The 17,063-nt window shown below is 49.4% G+C and overlaps 5 annotated features.

Annotated features, from left to right (window-relative positions):
• Positions 347–547: a silencer, noted in NCBI's record as "peak6728 fragment used in MPRA reporter construct". NCBI's record gives its function as "represses an SCP1 promoter by STARR-seq MPRAs in K562 erythroleukemia cells {active_cell/tissue: K562}" and the evidence as "EXISTENCE:reporter gene assay evidence [ECO:0000049][PMID:32103011]".
• Positions 1,301–1,801: an enhancer, noted in NCBI's record as "H3K4me1 hESC enhancer chr7:131277274-131277774 (GRCh37/hg19 assembly coordinates)". NCBI's record gives its function as "activates a minimal SCP1, AML or CMV promoter by ChIP-STARR-seq in primed H9 embryonic stem cells {active_cell/tissue: H9 hESC(primed)}" and the evidence as "EXISTENCE:reporter gene assay evidence [ECO:0000049][PMID:30033119]".
• Positions 13,436–14,289: an enhancer, noted in NCBI's record as "OCT4-NANOG-H3K27ac-H3K4me1 hESC enhancer chr7:131289409-131290262 (GRCh37/hg19 assembly coordinates)". NCBI's record gives its function as "activates a minimal SCP1, AML or CMV promoter by ChIP-STARR-seq in primed H9 embryonic stem cells {active_cell/tissue: H9 hESC(primed)}" and the evidence as "EXISTENCE:reporter gene assay evidence [ECO:0000049][PMID:30033119]".
• Positions 14,290–15,145: an enhancer, noted in NCBI's record as "OCT4-NANOG-H3K27ac-H3K4me1 hESC enhancer chr7:131290263-131291118 (GRCh37/hg19 assembly coordinates)". NCBI's record gives its function as "activates a minimal SCP1, AML or CMV promoter by ChIP-STARR-seq in primed H9 embryonic stem cells {active_cell/tissue: H9 hESC(primed)}" and the evidence as "EXISTENCE:reporter gene assay evidence [ECO:0000049][PMID:30033119]".
• Positions 15,146–15,999: an enhancer, noted in NCBI's record as "NANOG-H3K27ac-H3K4me1 hESC enhancer chr7:131291119-131291972 (GRCh37/hg19 assembly coordinates)". NCBI's record gives its function as "activates a minimal SCP1, AML or CMV promoter by ChIP-STARR-seq in primed H9 embryonic stem cells {active_cell/tissue: H9 hESC(primed)}" and the evidence as "EXISTENCE:reporter gene assay evidence [ECO:0000049][PMID:30033119]".

Below are 17,063 nucleotides of genomic sequence, written 5' to 3' on the forward strand. Positions count from 1 at the left end.
GACTCCAGGCATGTGCACCACCTGGCCCATAATCTCTCTCTATTTTTTCAGTATTGAGTGTTATCCAGAGTCAGGTATTCTGCAAAGAGCTTTGCAGACATGATCTTAATAGGCAGAGACTGTTTTAGATACTTTACGTGTATTAATACACTTAATCCTCATAACAACCCTATGAAGTAGGTACTATTATTATTGTCCCCGTGTTACATATGAGGAAACTGAGGCACTGGACGATCAAGTAACTTCTCCAGGGTCACACAGGTAATAGGTTGAAAAGTCAAGGAATCTGGCTTCAGGGACTGTGTTCTCAACCTCTTTGCTAGACCACTGCTCCAACTGACTTCCACAGCAACTCTTAGACCAGGCAAACAGGTGCTACTCCTGCTGGGGAGAAGGGAAGCCCCTTGCTTGGGCTCACAGCCCTAGCCAGTGGCCAAGGCAGTCCAAGACCAGAGCCTGTGCCCTGAGCCACTTAGCCTCTTCTCCCACTGGGAAAGACTGCTGGAGACGGGGACCTGGATCCAGGTGGTTCATTTTAGGAAGTGGATCCCAAAGAATGGGAGTAGGAGACTGAGAGTGAATGGGAAAGGAGGGCACACCAATCTAAGGATGCATTTCCAAGCTGTCACTGCTGTGTGCAGCTGGGCTCCAACCTGCTGTGAGCCTCTGAGGAGTACACAGAATGGGGCTCAGAACTATCCCTGGGAAGAATGGAAGAGACGGCATTTATCCGCTGGCTTGTGTTCCCTATGGGCCAAGCGTTATCCTGTCACATGTGTGAGTGTCCAGAGTGCCTGTCCTGGGCACAGAGGGGCCCTGGGGCAGAAATGAAATGGTCACAGGTGCAGCTGAGCCCAGGGGCTGTGGCCAGGGCTGAGGGAAGGGTGGGTGAGAGTGCGTGAGGCCAAGGCGCTGTCCAGCGTTACTATTACTGACACTTCCCATGTACTCTTCTGCACTTTCTCTTCCTGTGTGTCTTTCTAATTTCACGCAGACAGCTGGCTTCTGGTAGGAAGCACTTTAGCACCTTGATCATTGTTTCCACAGTGCCCAGCGTGGTTCTGGGAAGAGGGCATGCGCTCCAATATCAGCCAGCCTTTTTTTTTTTTTTTTTTTTTGAGACGCGGTCTTGCTCTGTTGCCCAGGCTGGACTGCAGTGGTGCGATCTCGGCTCACTGCAACCTCTGCCTCTCGGGTTCAAGTGATTCTCCTATCTCAGCCTCCCGAGTAGCTGGGATTACAGGCACACACCACCACGCCCGGCTTATTTTTGTCTTTTTAGTAGAGATGGGGTTTTACCATGTTGGCCAGGATGGTCTCCAACTCCTGACCTCAGGTGATCCACCCGCCCAGCACACCTTGTACCCAGCACCTCTGCTGTTCCAGGTACCAGGCTGGGTTCTCTACACGTACGATAGCCTTGCATCTTGACAACAATCTATTCTGCCTGCCTCATGTATAGGGACGTTGAGGCTGAGAGGCTAGGGGATCAGGGTGGCAGAGCTGAAAGCAGAATCTGGGTGGGAGGCTAACAGGGCCCTGCGCTCCCTCTGTGCTGGCTGAAGTGAGGAGATCCCAGCTTCTCCTGCTGGACCTGAGAGACCCATGGCATGGGGAGCAAGGAGGTTTTCAGAAGAGGAAAGAGCTAGAGGCTTAACAACAGTGCAGAGCAGGAAAGCCAGGGCTTGTCTAAGGAATAGCAGTTTGGCCAAGGGTAGGAAACCTGTGGGAGCTGCTCTCACAGCCAGTTGCCCCTGGGGGTAGGAGGAGGGGAGGAGGGCGCCGGAGGGGAGGGCACGTCCTGCAGTTCAGCTGGTGATGGAGCTGGGGGCTTCTGCTGGCCTTTTTAGTTTATTTGTTGCAATTTAAAAATTCAGCTGGGGAGAGGGCCTGTCTTGGACATTATTGCTTCTTTTTGTTTTTCTTTTTCTTTCTTGTTTTTATTTTTATTTTATTTATTTTTTTGAGACGGAGTCTCGCTCTGTCACCCGGGCTGGAGTGCAGTGGCGTGATCTTGGCTCACCGCAAGCTCCGCCTCCTGGGTTCTCGCTATTCTCCTGCCTCAGCCTCCCAAATAGCTAGGACTACAGGCGCCCGCCACCACACCTGGCTAATTTTTTCTATTTTTAGTTGAGATGAAGTGTCACCGTGTTAGCCAGGATGGTCTCGATCTCCTGACCTCGTGATCCGCCCGCCTCAGCCTCCCAAAGTGCTGGGATTACAGGCGTGAGCCACCGCGCCCAGCTCCTTTCTTTCTTTTAAAAATTATTTTATTATTAATTTTTTAAGTTCTGGGGTACATGTGCAGGATGTGCAGGTTTGTTACATACGTAAACGTGTGCCATGGTGGTTTGCTGCACCTGTCAACACATCACCTAGGTATTAAGCCCAGCATTCATTAGCTCTTTTCCCTAAAGCTCAACCTCCCCCAATCTCCCTACCTCCAACCAGCCCCAGATAGTGTTCTTCCCTTCCCTGTATCCATGGGTTCTCATTGTTCAGCTCCCACTTATGAGTGAGAACATGTGGTGTTTGGTTTTCGGGTTGTGCATTAGTTTGCTGAGGATAATGGCTTCCAGCTCCATCCATCTCCCTGCAAAGGACATGATCTTGTTACATAGTATTCCATGGTGCATATGTACCACATTTTTTTTTTTTTTTTGAGACGGAGTTTTGCTCTTGTTACCCAGGCTGGAGTGCAATGGTGCAATCTCGGCTCACCGCAACCTCTGCTTCCCGGGTTCAAGCGATTCTCCTGCCTCAGCCTCCAGAGTAGCTGGGATTACACGCACGCGCCACCACGCCCGGCTAATTTTGTATTTTCAGTAGAGGCGGGGTTTCTCCATGTTGGTCAGGTGGTCTCGAACTCCCGACCTCAGGTAATCGGCCCTCCTCGGCCTCCCTAAGCACTGGGATTACAGGTGTGAGCCACTGTGCCCAGCCCACATTTTATTTATCCAGTCTATCATTGACGGGCATCTGGGTTGATTCCATGTCTTTGCTATTGTGAATAGTGCTGCAATGAAAATATATGTGCATGCATCTTTATAATAGAATGATTTACATTCCTTCGGATATATAACCAGTAATGGGATTGCTGGGCCAAATGGTATTTCCGGCTCTAAATCTTTGAGGAATCACCTTACTGTCTTCCACAATGGTTGAACTAATTTACAAACAACCACATTAAAAAGTGGGCAAAGAATATGAACAGACAATTCTCAAAAAAAGACATACATGCAGCCAACAAAACATACGAAAAAAAGCTCAACACCACTGATCATTTGAGAAATGTAAATCAAAATCACAATGAGATACCATCTCACACCAGTCAGAATGTCAATTATTAAAAAGTCAAGAAACAACAGATGCTAGCAAGGTGCAAGGTTGGGGGAAAATAGCAATGTTTTTACACTGTTTGTGCTGGACTTTCAAAAACCCGTGTCATGGCTGGGTGCAGTGGCTCACGCCTGTAATCCTAGCACTTTGGGAGGCTGAGGCGGGCGGATCACTTGAGGTCAGAAGTTGGAGACCAGCCTGGCCAACATGGTGAAACCCCGTCTATACTAAAAATACAAAAATTAGCCAGGTATGGTGGTGCATGACTGTAATCCCAGTTACTTGGGAGGCTGAGGCAAGAGAATCGCTTGAACCTGGGAGGTGGAGGTTGCAGTGAGCTGAGATCATGCCATTGCACTTCAGCCTGGGCAACAGAGTGAGACTTTGTCTCAAAAACAAAAAAAAAAAAAAAAAAGGAAAAGGGACAAGAGACTGTCCCCAGCCCAGGGGCCTAGTTGGCCAACCCTTGGCCAAAGAGCCACAGAGGTAGAATCTGTCCTAGGTCTTCCTCCCTCATATCCCTCTCCTGACTCTGGCACATTTTCTGCCTCTGCAAGTAACTGGCCTTATGCTTTGCCTCCTTTAGCCTGGCCCTGGTCCCCGGCTTCTGGCTCCCACCATTCTCCCTTCCTCTCTACCTCCAGGAGGTACCCACTTGCAAACCAAAAAAAAAAAAAAAAAATCTGAGACAGGGCCTGGCGTGGTGGCTCATGGCTGTAATCCCAGCACTTTGGGAGGCTGAGGCAGGCGGATCCCTGTGGTCGGGAGTTCAAGACCAGCCTGGCCAGCATGGTGAAACCCTGTCTCTACTAAAAATACAAAAATTAGCCCGGCATGGTGGCAGGTGCCTGTAATCCCAGCTACTCGAGAAGCTGAGGCAGGAGAATTGCTTGAACCTGGGAGGTGGAGGTTGCAGTGAGCCAAGATCGTGCCATTGCACTCCAGCCTGGGCAACAGAGTGAGACTCCATCACAAAGAAAAATAAATAAATAAATACATAAAAAATCTGAGACAGGTCTCAATCAATTTAGAAGTTTATTTTGCCAAGGTTAAGGACAGCCCAGAAGAAAAACACAGAAAATCACAGAAATGGTCAGTGGTCTGTGTTTCTCTCCAAGGATGATTTTAAGGACTTCAATATTTAAAGAGGAAAAGCGGGCTGCAGGGGAGAAAAGGTGGGTACGGTAATCCACATGTTGCCATAGAAAAGGAACAGTTGGGGAATAGTTAATTTTGTATTTGTCTCGCACTCAGTCAATCAGCACATTACACAAGATAAGGTGAACATAGAGTAGCTGCCTGTGGAGATGTTTAATCTTTTATCTGTAGCTACTGTCTGCTTAGGAACAAAAGGAAAGACAGCTTCTTCCATGACTCAGCTTTCAGCTTAATTTTTTCCTTTTGACAGAGTGAATTACAGTCCCAAGTTTTTATTTTCCTTTCACACACTGTAATAGTTAGTGTACATCTGTCCCGTCTCTCTTTAGATATGTATGTATATATGCACATGAATACATATATAGACACATATATATACATATATATAATATATACCTAAACATGTGTATTTGTGTGTACATACATATACACAAAAGTACTGTCCAGGCATGGCAGCTCATGCCTGTAATCCCAGCACTTTGGGAGGCCAAGGCTGCAGGATTGCTTGAGGCCAGGAGTTTGAGACCAGCCTGGGCAACGTAGAGAGACTGTCTCCACATAAAAAATAATAAAAACCCATGAATATTTGCATATATATATATATATATATATATATATATATATATGTACATATTTCAAAACCAGGATAATACAATGTGTATGACTCTTCAACTTGCTCCCCCGCCCCAGTGATATCATCATGGCCATCTTCCTGTGGACTGACTACGTGGACCCAACTCCTTCTTCTCAGTGGCTGCTTAACATTTCAGTACATGCAAATGCCATTATATTTTATTCTTAGTGGGTTCTCTTCCCATTGTTTGTGGAGGGCCTGTCATGGACAAGGCTATGTTCTGGGGACCAGAATTTACATTCTATTAAGGGAGACAGGAAATATACACTAATTAAGTTGATAGGCAGGAGCATTGTGGGTGAGGTTAAGTGTTAGGAGGAAAATAAAACAGAATCTGGGGGCTTCGGGGGCAATGTCACTGTGAAGGTGAAGTGATGTTTGATAACTCCAATTAGAATTTCTGGACCACACGTAGGATGCATACTTGGGTTATGTCCATTTTTTTGTTTGTTTGTTTTTTGAGACAGAGTCTTGCTCTGTCACCCAGGCTGAGTGCAGTGCAATCATGGCTCACTGCAGCCTTGACCTCCTGGGCTCAAGCAATCCTCTCACTTCAGCCTGTCGAGTAGCTGGACGACAGGTGAGTGCCACCACGCCCGGCTAATTTTGTATCTTCTGTAGAGATGGAGTCTCACTATGTTGCCCAGGCTGGGCACTGGCAACATGTTACATCCAGTTTTGAGCTGGGACACACACTGTGTATGGTACCTGTGAGCCCATGTGATACAGATGGAAAAGGAGCTGTGGGATCTTCACTTTGGAAAGAATGAGCCCCGTGACACCATTCTCCCCTCTTACTCAGTGTCCTTGGTGGTCTCAGGTCTGGGGCAGCTGCCGAGGGTCAGATGCATAGGCCAGCCAGCAGGCCCACATCCCCAGAGTGTGAGCTTCTCTGCACAGGCCCATCTTCATGATTTCCCCACTCTGTGGCCTTAGGACCGTTACTTTGTGACTTCTCAGAGTAATAAAGCAGCTTTCTTTTTTTTTTTTTTTTTTTTGAGACGGTGTCTCACACTGTTGCCCAGCCTGGATGGAGTGCAGTGGCGCGATCTCGGCTCACTGCAACCTCCACCTCCCGGGTTCACACAATTCTCCTGCCTCAGCCTCCCGAGTAGCTGGGATTACAGGCTCATACCACCTTACCCAGCTAATTTTTTGTATTTTTAGTAGAGATGGGGTTTCACTATGTTGGCCAGGCTGGTCTCGAACTTCTGACCTCGTGATCCGCCCGCCTCAGCCTCCCAAAGTGCTGGGATTATAGGCTTGAGCCACTGCTCCCGGCCTAAAGCAGCTTTCTTTAAGAATTTATTTATTTTTTTGGGCCGGGCGCAGTGACTCATGCCTGTAATCCCAGCACTTTGGGAGGCCGAGGCGGGCGGACCACGAGGTCAGGAGATCGAGAGCATCCTGGGTAACACTGTGAAACCCCGTCTCTACTAAAAATAAAAAAAAAAATTAGCCGGGCGAGGTGGCGGGCGCCTGTAGTCCCAGTTACTCCGAAGGCTGAGGCAGGAGAATGGCGTGAACCCAGGAGGCGGAGCTCGCAGTGAGCCGAGATCATGCTGATGCACTCCAGCCTGGGTGACAGAGCGAGACTCCATCTCAAAAAAAAAAAAAAAAAGAATTTATTTATTTTTTTGAGACAGGGTCTCACTCTGTCACCTAGGCTGGAGTGCATTGGTGTGATCATAGCTCACTGCAGCCTCAAACTCCTGGGCTCAAGCAATCCTCCCACCTCAGCCTCCTGAATAGCTGGGATTACAGGCTGAGCTGCCATGCCCAGCTAAAGGGGCTTTCTTGTATGTAAAATATTAAAATGCTTCTCTGCCTCTGCTTTCACAAGAAAATGCATGTAAAATTGCTTTAAGAGAGGAAAGTATCTATTAGTTTGTTAGGATTGCCAGAACAAAGAACTGTAAGCTGGGTGGCTTCAAAGAACAGAAATTTATTGTCCCACAGTTTTGGAGGCCAGAAGTCTGAAACTGAGGTGTTGGCAGGGTTGGTTCCTTCTTGGGAAATCTGAGAGAGAATCTGTTCCATTCCTGTCTCCTAGTTTCTGGCAGCTGTCATCAATCCCTGACATTCCTTTGCTGTTTGGCTGTGACACTGTCACTCAGTCTCTGCCCCCATCATCACATGGCATTCTCCCTGTGTGTCTGTGTCCAAATCTCTTGCTTCTTCTTTTTTTTTTTTTTTTGAGACGGAGTCTCACTCTGTTGCCCAGGCTGGTGTGCAGTGGCGTGATCTCGGCTCACTGCAACCTCCACCTCCTAGGTTCAAGAGATTCTCCTGCCTCAGCCTCTTGAGTAGCTGGGATTACAGGCATGTGCCACCATGCCTGGCTAATTTTTTGTATTTTTAGTAGAGATGGGGCTTCACCATGTTAACCAGGGTGGTCTCAATCTCCTGACCTCGTGATCTGCCCGCCTCGGCCTCCCAAAGTGCTGGGACTACAGGTGTGAGCCACCACGCCCAGCTCTCTTGCTTCTTATAAGGACATCAGTTATTGGATGATGTCCACCGTAATGATCTGATTACATCCACAAAGATCCTATTTCCAAATAAAGTCACATTTGCAGGTCCCAGGGGTTAGGGCTTGAACATATCTTTTGCAGGGGGCACAATTCAACCCATGTCATCTTCATCATCAGCACCATCTTTCTCATCATCATCACAGAAAATCAATGTTAAAAAACACACCAAGGCCAGGTGCAGTGGCTCACGCCTGTAATCCCAGCACTTTGGGAGGCCGAGGTGGACTGATCACTTGAGGTCAGGAGTTCGAGACTAGCCTGGCCAACATGGTGAAACCCTGTCTCTATTAAAAATACAAAAATTGGCCAGATGTGGTGGCTCACGCCTGTAATCCCAGCATTTTGGGATGCCGAGGCAGGTGGATCACCTGAGGTCAGGAGTTCAAGAGCAGCCTGGCCAACATGGTGAAAACCCGTCTCAAGTAAAAATTACAAAAAAATTAGCTGGGAGTGGTGATGGGCACCTGTAATCCCAGCTACTTCAGGAGGCTGAGGCAGGAGAATCGCTGGAACCCATGAGGTGGAGGTTGCAGTGAGCTGAGATCACGCCACTGTACTCCAGCCTGGGTAACAAGAGTGAAACTCCATCTCAAAAAAAAAAATTAGTTGGGCATGTTGGCGTGAGCCTATAATCCCAGCTACTCCAGAGGCTGAGGTGGGATAACTGGTTGAACCCAGGAGGTGAAGGTTGCAGTGAGCTGAGATTGTGCCACTGCACTCCAGTCTGGGTGATAGCTGATAGAGTGAGACCTGTCTCAACACACACACACACACACACACACACACACACACACACACACACACACACCCGAAAACTGCATTATCAGTCAGCAAACCGAATCTGCTTGGTTTTATGTGGAGTTGCCGCCTTGCTTTAGTAGTCCACTTTGACTCTAGAAAGGTGGTGATAGATTTGCAGGATCCGCCCAGGTGCAGTGGCTCACGTCTGTAATCCCAGCACTTTGGGAGGCCGAGGCAGGCAGATCCCTTGAGGCCAGGAGTTCAAGACCAGTCTGGTCAACATGGCGAAACCCCATCTCTACTAAAAATACAAAAAAGTACCTGGGAGTGGTGGTGCACACATGTAATCCCAGCTACCTGCGTGGTTGAGGCACAAGAATCACTTGAACCTGGGAGGCGGAGGTTGCAGGTAGCAGAGATTGAGCCACTGCACAGCTACCTGGGTGACAGAGCCAGACTGTCTCAAACAAACAAACAAAATGATTTGCAGAATCCTGGGAGAGACAGAGAAAGGGTTCTGATCAGTGCTTCTCCAACTATAGGCATACATTCATCACCTGGGTGTCTTGTCAAAATACAGACCCTGCTTCAGCGTGCTTGGGGTGGCCTGACATTCTGCATTGCTGTCAAGCTGCCAGGGGATGCCTTTGCTGCTGGCCACAGAACACACTCTGAGTAGGGTCTGATGGATTTCTACCATACAGGCCTCTGCCCTGCCTAAGGCCCAAGCACCTTTGAGGAGCCTGGCCACTCACCCTCTTCCTCCCATGACCTTTATGGTAGCAAGAGCCAGCCTAGCAGGTTTCACATGTGTCACTTCTCCCTTAGGTAGTCCCAGCTGTGACATCTTTCCCTACCTAACCCGTCCCCCTGCATAGCGTATGTTCTTCTTAGCCGCCATTAGTATTCCAGTGAGCCCACCTCGTCAACAGTGGGACGTACCAGGGAAGGCGAGAGGAAATTTAGCATAAAGGAGGACTGCAAACACATCAGAACACAAAACACACACATTCAGCCAAAAGACCCCCATTCCTGGACTCCATCCAGACCCGTCCCTTTATTATTTTTGTTCTCTTTCCTCTTTAACTAGATCTTGCCTGAAAACAGCCTGGGCGTTGCTAAGGGAACGCCTTAGAGCCTCCCTGAACACATCATTGTTTAATTCCAGCACAGGCAGCCCAGAGGAATTTGCTATTTGTTTAAGAGATGAAAGCCTCAACATCCACACATTCTTCTCCAGCTTCACTCCCCTTTAACCGTATGGCCCAGCCAGAGTGGAGCACATTGGGTGGAGGGAACTCATGGGACCCAACAAGGTAGCAGGTGCTCTGTGGATGGTCCATGCTATTCAAAGACAAAGAGATCCAGGATTTCTCGACTGGGTACTAGGGGAAGAACTGTCCTCACGCCATGGTATGAGAAGGACATGATGGGAGAGGAAAGCCTCTCAGCCATGTTTACCCCAACCTCAAATCTGTACATGGGGAATTGACCCAAACTTCCCTCAGGGCCTCAGTTACACAGACTGTAATTCAAGGAAGGGTACCAGACACCCCACCGAGCAGCACACCTAACCTGTACGTATAACACATGAAAATAGGCAACAGGCCGGGCACAGCGGCTTGTGCCTGTAATCCCAGCACTTTGGGAGACCAAGGCGGGAGGATCACCTGAGGTCGGGAGTTCGAGACCAGCCTGACCAACGGTGTTTCTCAACCCCGTCTCTACTAAAAATACAAAATTAGCCAGGCATGGTGGTGCATGACTGTAAGCTCAGCTACTTGGGAGGCTGAGGCAGGAGAATCTCTTGAACCTAGGAGGCGGAGGTTGCAGTGAGCCAAGATCACACCATTGCACTCCAGCCTGGGCAACAAGAGCGAAACTCCGTCTCAAAAAAAAAAAAAAAACAAAAACAAAAAAAACAAGAAAAAAAAGAAAATAGCCAACAGGGCTATTGGCTATTGAGGGCTGGCTTCCCAGCGATCCAGGGAAATTCACCCAAGCAGGAAGAGCAGAAATGAGCCAAGTGCTGGCCTTTTGGAGGATGGATGTGATTTGAGGGTTTAGGGGTCAAGGAAGAGCTTTCCCCTTGGCCCTATGAAGGTTTCCTGAAAATCACTGACATGAGGCAGATTAACAGGAGAAAAGACATACACATTTATTTAACATATAGACACACGAGCCCGCAGCTTGAAGACCCCCCTCGCCCAGTGAGGTTCAAAAGCTTGTATTCCAACCTGGCAAAACAGGTTATGGACGGGGGAGAACAGGAATTTTGTTGGGGGGATTACTGGGGAGAATGAATGGATCAGGGAACAGAGATTAACCAGAAATAGTTCTCTTTGACAGCGAAAACGTCTGTTCAGGTGTGGTTACATTCTTGGTCTTACAGAGAGGGAAAGAAGAAACAATTGTCTGGATCTCAGGCACATAAAGGAACTTCAGCTTCTTTGGGAGAGACAGTGGGGGTGGAGGAAAGGTCAGAGAGACCTTGAGGCTTCTACAGTTCGGCATGTCGCCTCGCCATAATTTGGGGTATCAGTTTCTGAGCCCCCAAAATGCAAGAAGGTGTTTCAGGAACCCATCCAGGCACCATTTAACAGGATTTATCAGTAACCCAATGTGTCCTGTGGCACCTGCTAGGTAGGGGTGCAGAGAAGCACTGTGACAGAGCCTGGGGCTGTACAGCCTTGTACCTGCAGCTTCTCATTCTGGGGAGAGGACTGAGCCTCCTCTGCTTTGCGGCCTCATAGCTCCATCCCTCCCGTCCCTGCTTGCCTTCCAGGGCCATTCTCTGCTTTTCTTCCAGGGCCATTCTGCTTCTCTGCCAACCACCACATGGGTCCCCCTGGGCATTGGCTGCAGGAGAACCTGATTGGCTCAGGTAATCACCAGCTCTTGGACACTGGCCAACCAATAGAGCGGCAGCATCCAGGTCAGGTGCCCACCCTTGGTCCAATCAGCTGTGGCCCAACTGCCGTAGGGCCCATGGTGCAGGTGGTGTTTTTAAAGGGGGCTGCAGGTGAGCCAGGTCTTGCGGTGTCAACTACACGAAAAAAGCGACCCTTTCAGAAGAATTCTAATGAGAGAGCCATGTCGTCTACCCGGGACGTGTGATTGAATTTTTGTGGTGCGATGGGGTATGGGATAAAATCTCTCTTGTGTCATCCTGTGGAGACTTGGTGAAAGGCTCATCACCCACACATCCTCCTGGCATTGGACTTGTGTTTTGGAGGGAGTTTGGCTGTGCTGACTCAGGCTTCCCGGGAAGGCACAGGTTTAGAAAAGAGGCTGCTCCTGGGGGCCAAGCCACCACTGGTTACCTACAGAAAAACTTGAAATTTGGCAGTGAATGGAAAGGGAAAGTGGGCTGACTCTATTGGAGTAACAGGAGCATCTGTGTACAGACGCAGAGAGACCTGTGCGGATGGAGAGACAAACACGCCAACACATGCCTAGACAAACAGTGCGGGGCAGAGAGAGAGGCTCTGAGAGCCACAGAGAGCCACATGCAGGGAGATAAGCACAGAGCCAGAGAGATAGAGACTCAGACACAGAGATAAACACTCATATGAAGCAACACACCCAGTGGCACACTCATTCACCCAAGCAAGCAGAGGGCTGTAGGGAGCTTGCAGCTCAAGTGGAGCCAGGCTACTGGAAGTGAACATTGCATTGTCCCTTGATGTGGGAAGCTGAAGCCGTCTACTACAAAAAGGAAAAGGCCATTTTCCCAAAGATCAGGATTTCATTGTAAAGGAGTTGCTGGGCTCATCTCAAGAAAGGAGGGGCTGACACAAGTCAATATAATCCATTTTCAGAGGAAACTGTGTTTTCTAAATTTGAATCAGTATAATCCATTTTATTTCCCTCTCTCTCTTTTTTTTTTTTTTTTTTTTTTTTGAGATGGAGTGTTGCTCTGTCACCCAGGCTGGAGTGCAGTGGCAGGATCTCGGCTCACTGTAACCTCTGCCTCCCGGGTTCAAGCGAATCTCCTGCTTCAGCCTCCCGAGTAGCTGGGACTACAGGCATGTGCCACCACGCCCGGATGATTTTTGTATTTTTAATAGAGACAGGGTCTTGCCATGTTGGCCAGGCTGGTCTCAAACTCCTGACCTCAGCTGATCCACCCATCTCGGCCTCCCAAAGTGCTGGGATTACAGGCGTGAGCCACCGCGCCTGGCCAGTATAATCCATTTTCATAGGAAAATGTGTTTTCTAAATTTGAAAAGCAAAAGCCAAACAAACAAACAAAAAAAGCAATAGAAATACTTTTGGAGAAGTTGCCAAAATGCAGACAAATTCTAAGCATCTGTTTAGGCTGTGGTTCCAGAAGTCAGAAAGGAACCCCCTCAGGGAACACTGGGGCAGCGGCCCTGAGAGGGTTATCTTTACAGTGCTATGACACTGGTCAGAGCCTGGAGAAATGGCCAGTCTAATCAGGGCCCACATTGTACAGAGAGATGGCTATTGTCTGTCTGTGGTTTGCACTGTGTAGCCACCCACAGGAGGGTTGAGCCGCAAAGGAATTGGATACTTACTGTGTTCCAGCCATAGCCAGGCCTCAGGGGCAGGGCCACTACCTGAACAGCTGAAGAAGAAAATGGATGAGTTGTCCTGCAGTAAGATGTGGAGCTCTGGGAGGCTGAGGTGGGAGAATTGCTTGAGCCTGGGAAGTGGAGGCTGCAGTGAGCTAAGATTGTGACACTGCACTCCAGCCTGGGTGACAGAGCAAGAAAAAAAAAAAAAGTGGAGCTCACACTTGAGCCTTAGGCTGCCATGTCTGGAAGGAATCTTAGAAGTTTTCCAGTCCAACCTTTTCCTTTTTTGCTGGAGAAAGCTGAAGCTGAGAGGCTAAGTGATTCCCCTGAGGTCCTGCAGTAAGTTAATGATGCCCTGGCAGATTCATTTACTAAAGGCTGGTGCCCCTCAACCTAGGCCAGCTTTTCCCCTTGGAGGGGGATCAGTTCTGTGGGTGGGGACAAAACCTGATGATAGGTACAAGGATCTCTAAGAGGGGCTGCTGAGAGGGTACTGGAGAACTGTTAAAGAAATATGTGCTCCATTTTCTATAAGATCTCTCCTTTGGGCCCTTGATAAAGACTTTATTTTGGTCACAAAAGGGACAGGGTGGCTCAGGCAACCCCTTTCTCAGTCGTAGAAAAACAATGGAAGGAAGACATAAGTCCTGCAGAGTATAGGTGATCTGGAGTCCCAGAATCAGGAAGACAGTGAGAAGAGACAGTCAAAGGATGGTATTCATGGGCAGCCTCCTAGATTCCCTCCTCCCCCATTTGCTTATGAATCACCGGTTGCTTGTTGATTTGGATGCAAAGTGGCATCTGGTGGGAGAGGGATGAGCAATTCATCTGGGAATGAAATGATAGGGATCTCAGATTGGTAACAGAGATCCTCCTTCACAACTGCAAAAGGCTTGCTGGACAGAGAGGTATGTGGAAATCTGAAATTTCCGGCTGAGGTTAGCTTCTGGCTAACCTCCTGATGGGACTTATCCATGGTGTCCCTGCCTCTTATTCATGTTCCTACACTGAAAACACCATGACTATCACCATTGGTGACCTCACTGCTCCCGGGATGCGAAGTCAGAGGATGCAGCCAAACTCTTCTCCACGTCGGGAGAAGTGCGGCTTCTAAGTTCACGGTGGTTTGCCTGAGGTCCTGCAGAGTCCTCAGAACCCAGGTGTCCTGGCTCGCTGTCACATTCACCCGAGAATCCAGGGAGTCTGGGAGAGCTGCTCTTCCCAGAAAGAGCATCACATTTACATCACTTAGGACCTGGGCCTGGGGCTGGGGCTATAGACTGAAAGGGAAATGCAGTGAAACAAATCTCGTAGGACCCCCTACCCCCTAAATGACTCCACTGGTCATTGAGATGAAAAAGCCTCAGAATTCTTTCAGCTCTCTTCTAGGATCTTCCTTTTGAATGCAAAGGAAGACTGGGAACTCTCCACAGAGTAAAATGTGGGTCTCCATCTCAATGCCCAGAGACAAAAGCCAAAAAATGTGAAGAATTTCCAAAGAGCCTCCTTCAAACGGCATCTCCCCCCACCTCTGGCTGTGCTCCACAGGCGCCGTGGATGGGAATGGCGACTTTCTTCTTTGGGCCCGGCTTGGACAGTTGCCCACTCACTAAAAGCCTGTATGAGGAGAAATGAAATTAGGCATGTCCCCACTCAGCCCATGCACTTGTCTTCATGTAAGAAGATACTTCTGTGATCTGGCTGACTGATGGGCCTTGTGTGTGGTTCTGCCGGTACATGGCAGGGACGTTTGTACCAGGCAGTGCACACTCTTGCACTCCTGTCCCCAGTGGGAGCAGCCCCTGGGAGAGGGGGTTGAGCAGACAAAAGCACCCCACCTACGCCGGGGCAGTGGAAACTTGTTCACTTTCCGGGGACCCTTTAAGAGGAGCACTCACTTGACTCAGGGCTCTTTTGTTCTTCTCCTTTGGAGGCTGAACAAAAAAGAATAAGCTGCTGTTCTATCATAAGGATTGAAAAAGAGATAGGGGAAGAGCCCTGAGAATTCTCTCTGTAAGATATCTTGAAGAGACTGAGTGATGCTTGATGTGCCGGAGTCCTTGGCCACCTGGGTAAATGTCTGCCGGCCCTCACTCTGCCAGCTTATTTCACCCTAACCTCTTCTCCCTTCTCTGCAGGACATAGAGTTCTTTGAGGGTCACTAGGATCCCTCAGATGATGAGAAAGAGCACAGAAGATGACAACTCATAGATAATCTTTGGGGAGAGGTTGGGAGTGATAAGAACTGGATTACACAACCCATAGAGAGCTGTTCCAGTTACCACATGACTATATTAGGGAAGTTGCCTCCCTCTCTGCCAGCACCTGCCAGGTTCGTAAACTTGCCTCAAGCTGTTTTTGCTTCCCTCTGGCAGACAGAATACTTTCCCTGAAGCACTGACTTAGTGGTGCTATTGTCAACTTCAGACTCTGCAGTAGCACTTGATAGCTGCAGTGCCTGGCCCAGGGGCCTTGGTGTGGCACCAAAGGCCCCGCCGCAGCCAGGGTGTCCTCCTCCCAGCCTCTACAACTCACCCTGCAAGGCCCTTTGATGTGGCCTTTTGACCTGGCCACCCACACCCACCACACTTCTCACTTATCCCACACCCCCCAATTTCAATATGACGTTTCACAAACTCCCCACGCCTTCTTCACTGTGCATCCTGTTCACTGCATTCGCCTTGCGGCTTGAGTCACTTTTCCTCTTGGAAGCTTCTTGACAAACCCCACCTCCCCTGTTGGTGTCGGGCGACCTGGCCTCAGAACCTGTGCTGCTTGCCACTCTGTTAGTTGCTTACCCTTGGGCCAGTGATGGACTCTTGGGCCTCTTTTTTCCTGTGAAATGGGAATAACGACTACTCACCTTATAGGTTGTAGGGACCAAGGGAAGTCTAACAGGGTCTGACTATGTTGCCCAGGCTGTCTTGAACTCCTGGCTCAAGTGATCCTCCCACCTCAGCCTCGCTAGTGGCTGGAACTACAGGTGTGAGCTACCATACCTGGCTAATTTTTTAATTTTTTGTAGAGATAGGGTCTCACCATGTTGCCCAGGCTGGTCTCAAACTCCTGGGCTCAAGCCATCCTCCCACTGCAGCCTCCTAAAATGCCAGGATTACAGGCATGGGCCACCATGCCCTGCCTGGGTTTTAATAAGTCCCCCAGGTGATTCTGAGGCACATTGAAGTTTGAGAGCCACTGCTGTGTTCTATTGCTTGGGACATGAATGGTCTGCAGAATAGTAAAGGACTCGGACTCACCAAACTGCATGTGCTTCAGAAAGCCAGGCGGCTAACTTGCTAGCCTGATAACATCCCTGTCTGCAGCCTCATTCCTCAGCCCTGACTCTCTATTCAGTCCCTAGAGATAGGTGTCTTTTAGACGGCTCTTTTTATCCCCTAGCTCATTGGAAGAGGAAGAAAGTTTTGTCTGTACGCTTTGTCTGTGCATGACCTCTCGTTGACACTTCGTGGAGCCGGGGGCTCAGATGATGGTCGGCAGAGGGGTAGACAGGGTGCTCCTCAGCCCCGTCCTTCTGAGCTCATGTCAAGATTTCCCAGGAGGCAGACAGAAGGTGGCACTGAGTGGAGAGAGGGAATTCAGGCAGCATGTCTTGGCCTCTCTGGGAGCCAAGGGGGAAGATCCACCCTGCACCCAGCAGCTTTCCTCTTGGAGCAAGGGCTGCCTGTGTGGCCAAGAAAGGCGAGCCTGGCATGAATGGAGACCTTGTGCCAAAGACCTCGCTGGAGCCGGGAGCCGCAACACAGGGGCTTTTCACAAGGAGCCTTACAACAGAGGCGGCATTGAGCGTGACTGTGGCCAGCGGGCAGGCGTGGGGTCTGGTGGATGCGTGGCATCGGTAGAACAACATTGCTGCTCCTCCTGACCCTGTCTCGGCTGGGGGTGGGGGTGGGGGGCGCTCCCAGATCTCTTCTCAGAGGGGAATACACTAAGAGTCATGTTGTCTCTAGCTGAAGCTGCCCTGACCCCCTTCGAGGGTGTTTGAGGCTCTACAGGGGCACAGAATAATGAGTGCAGGAGTCAACGTGTGTGTGGAGTAAGCTGGAGGGCTGGACAGGAATGGGTTAAAGACAGCTGCTTGGAGACATCACCAAAGCA

The sequence above is a fragment of the Homo sapiens genome, chromosome 7 (assembly GCF_000001405.40).
Source record: "Homo sapiens chromosome 7, GRCh38.p14 Primary Assembly".
NCBI classification, from domain to species: Eukaryota; Metazoa; Chordata; class Mammalia; order Primates; family Hominidae; genus Homo; species Homo sapiens.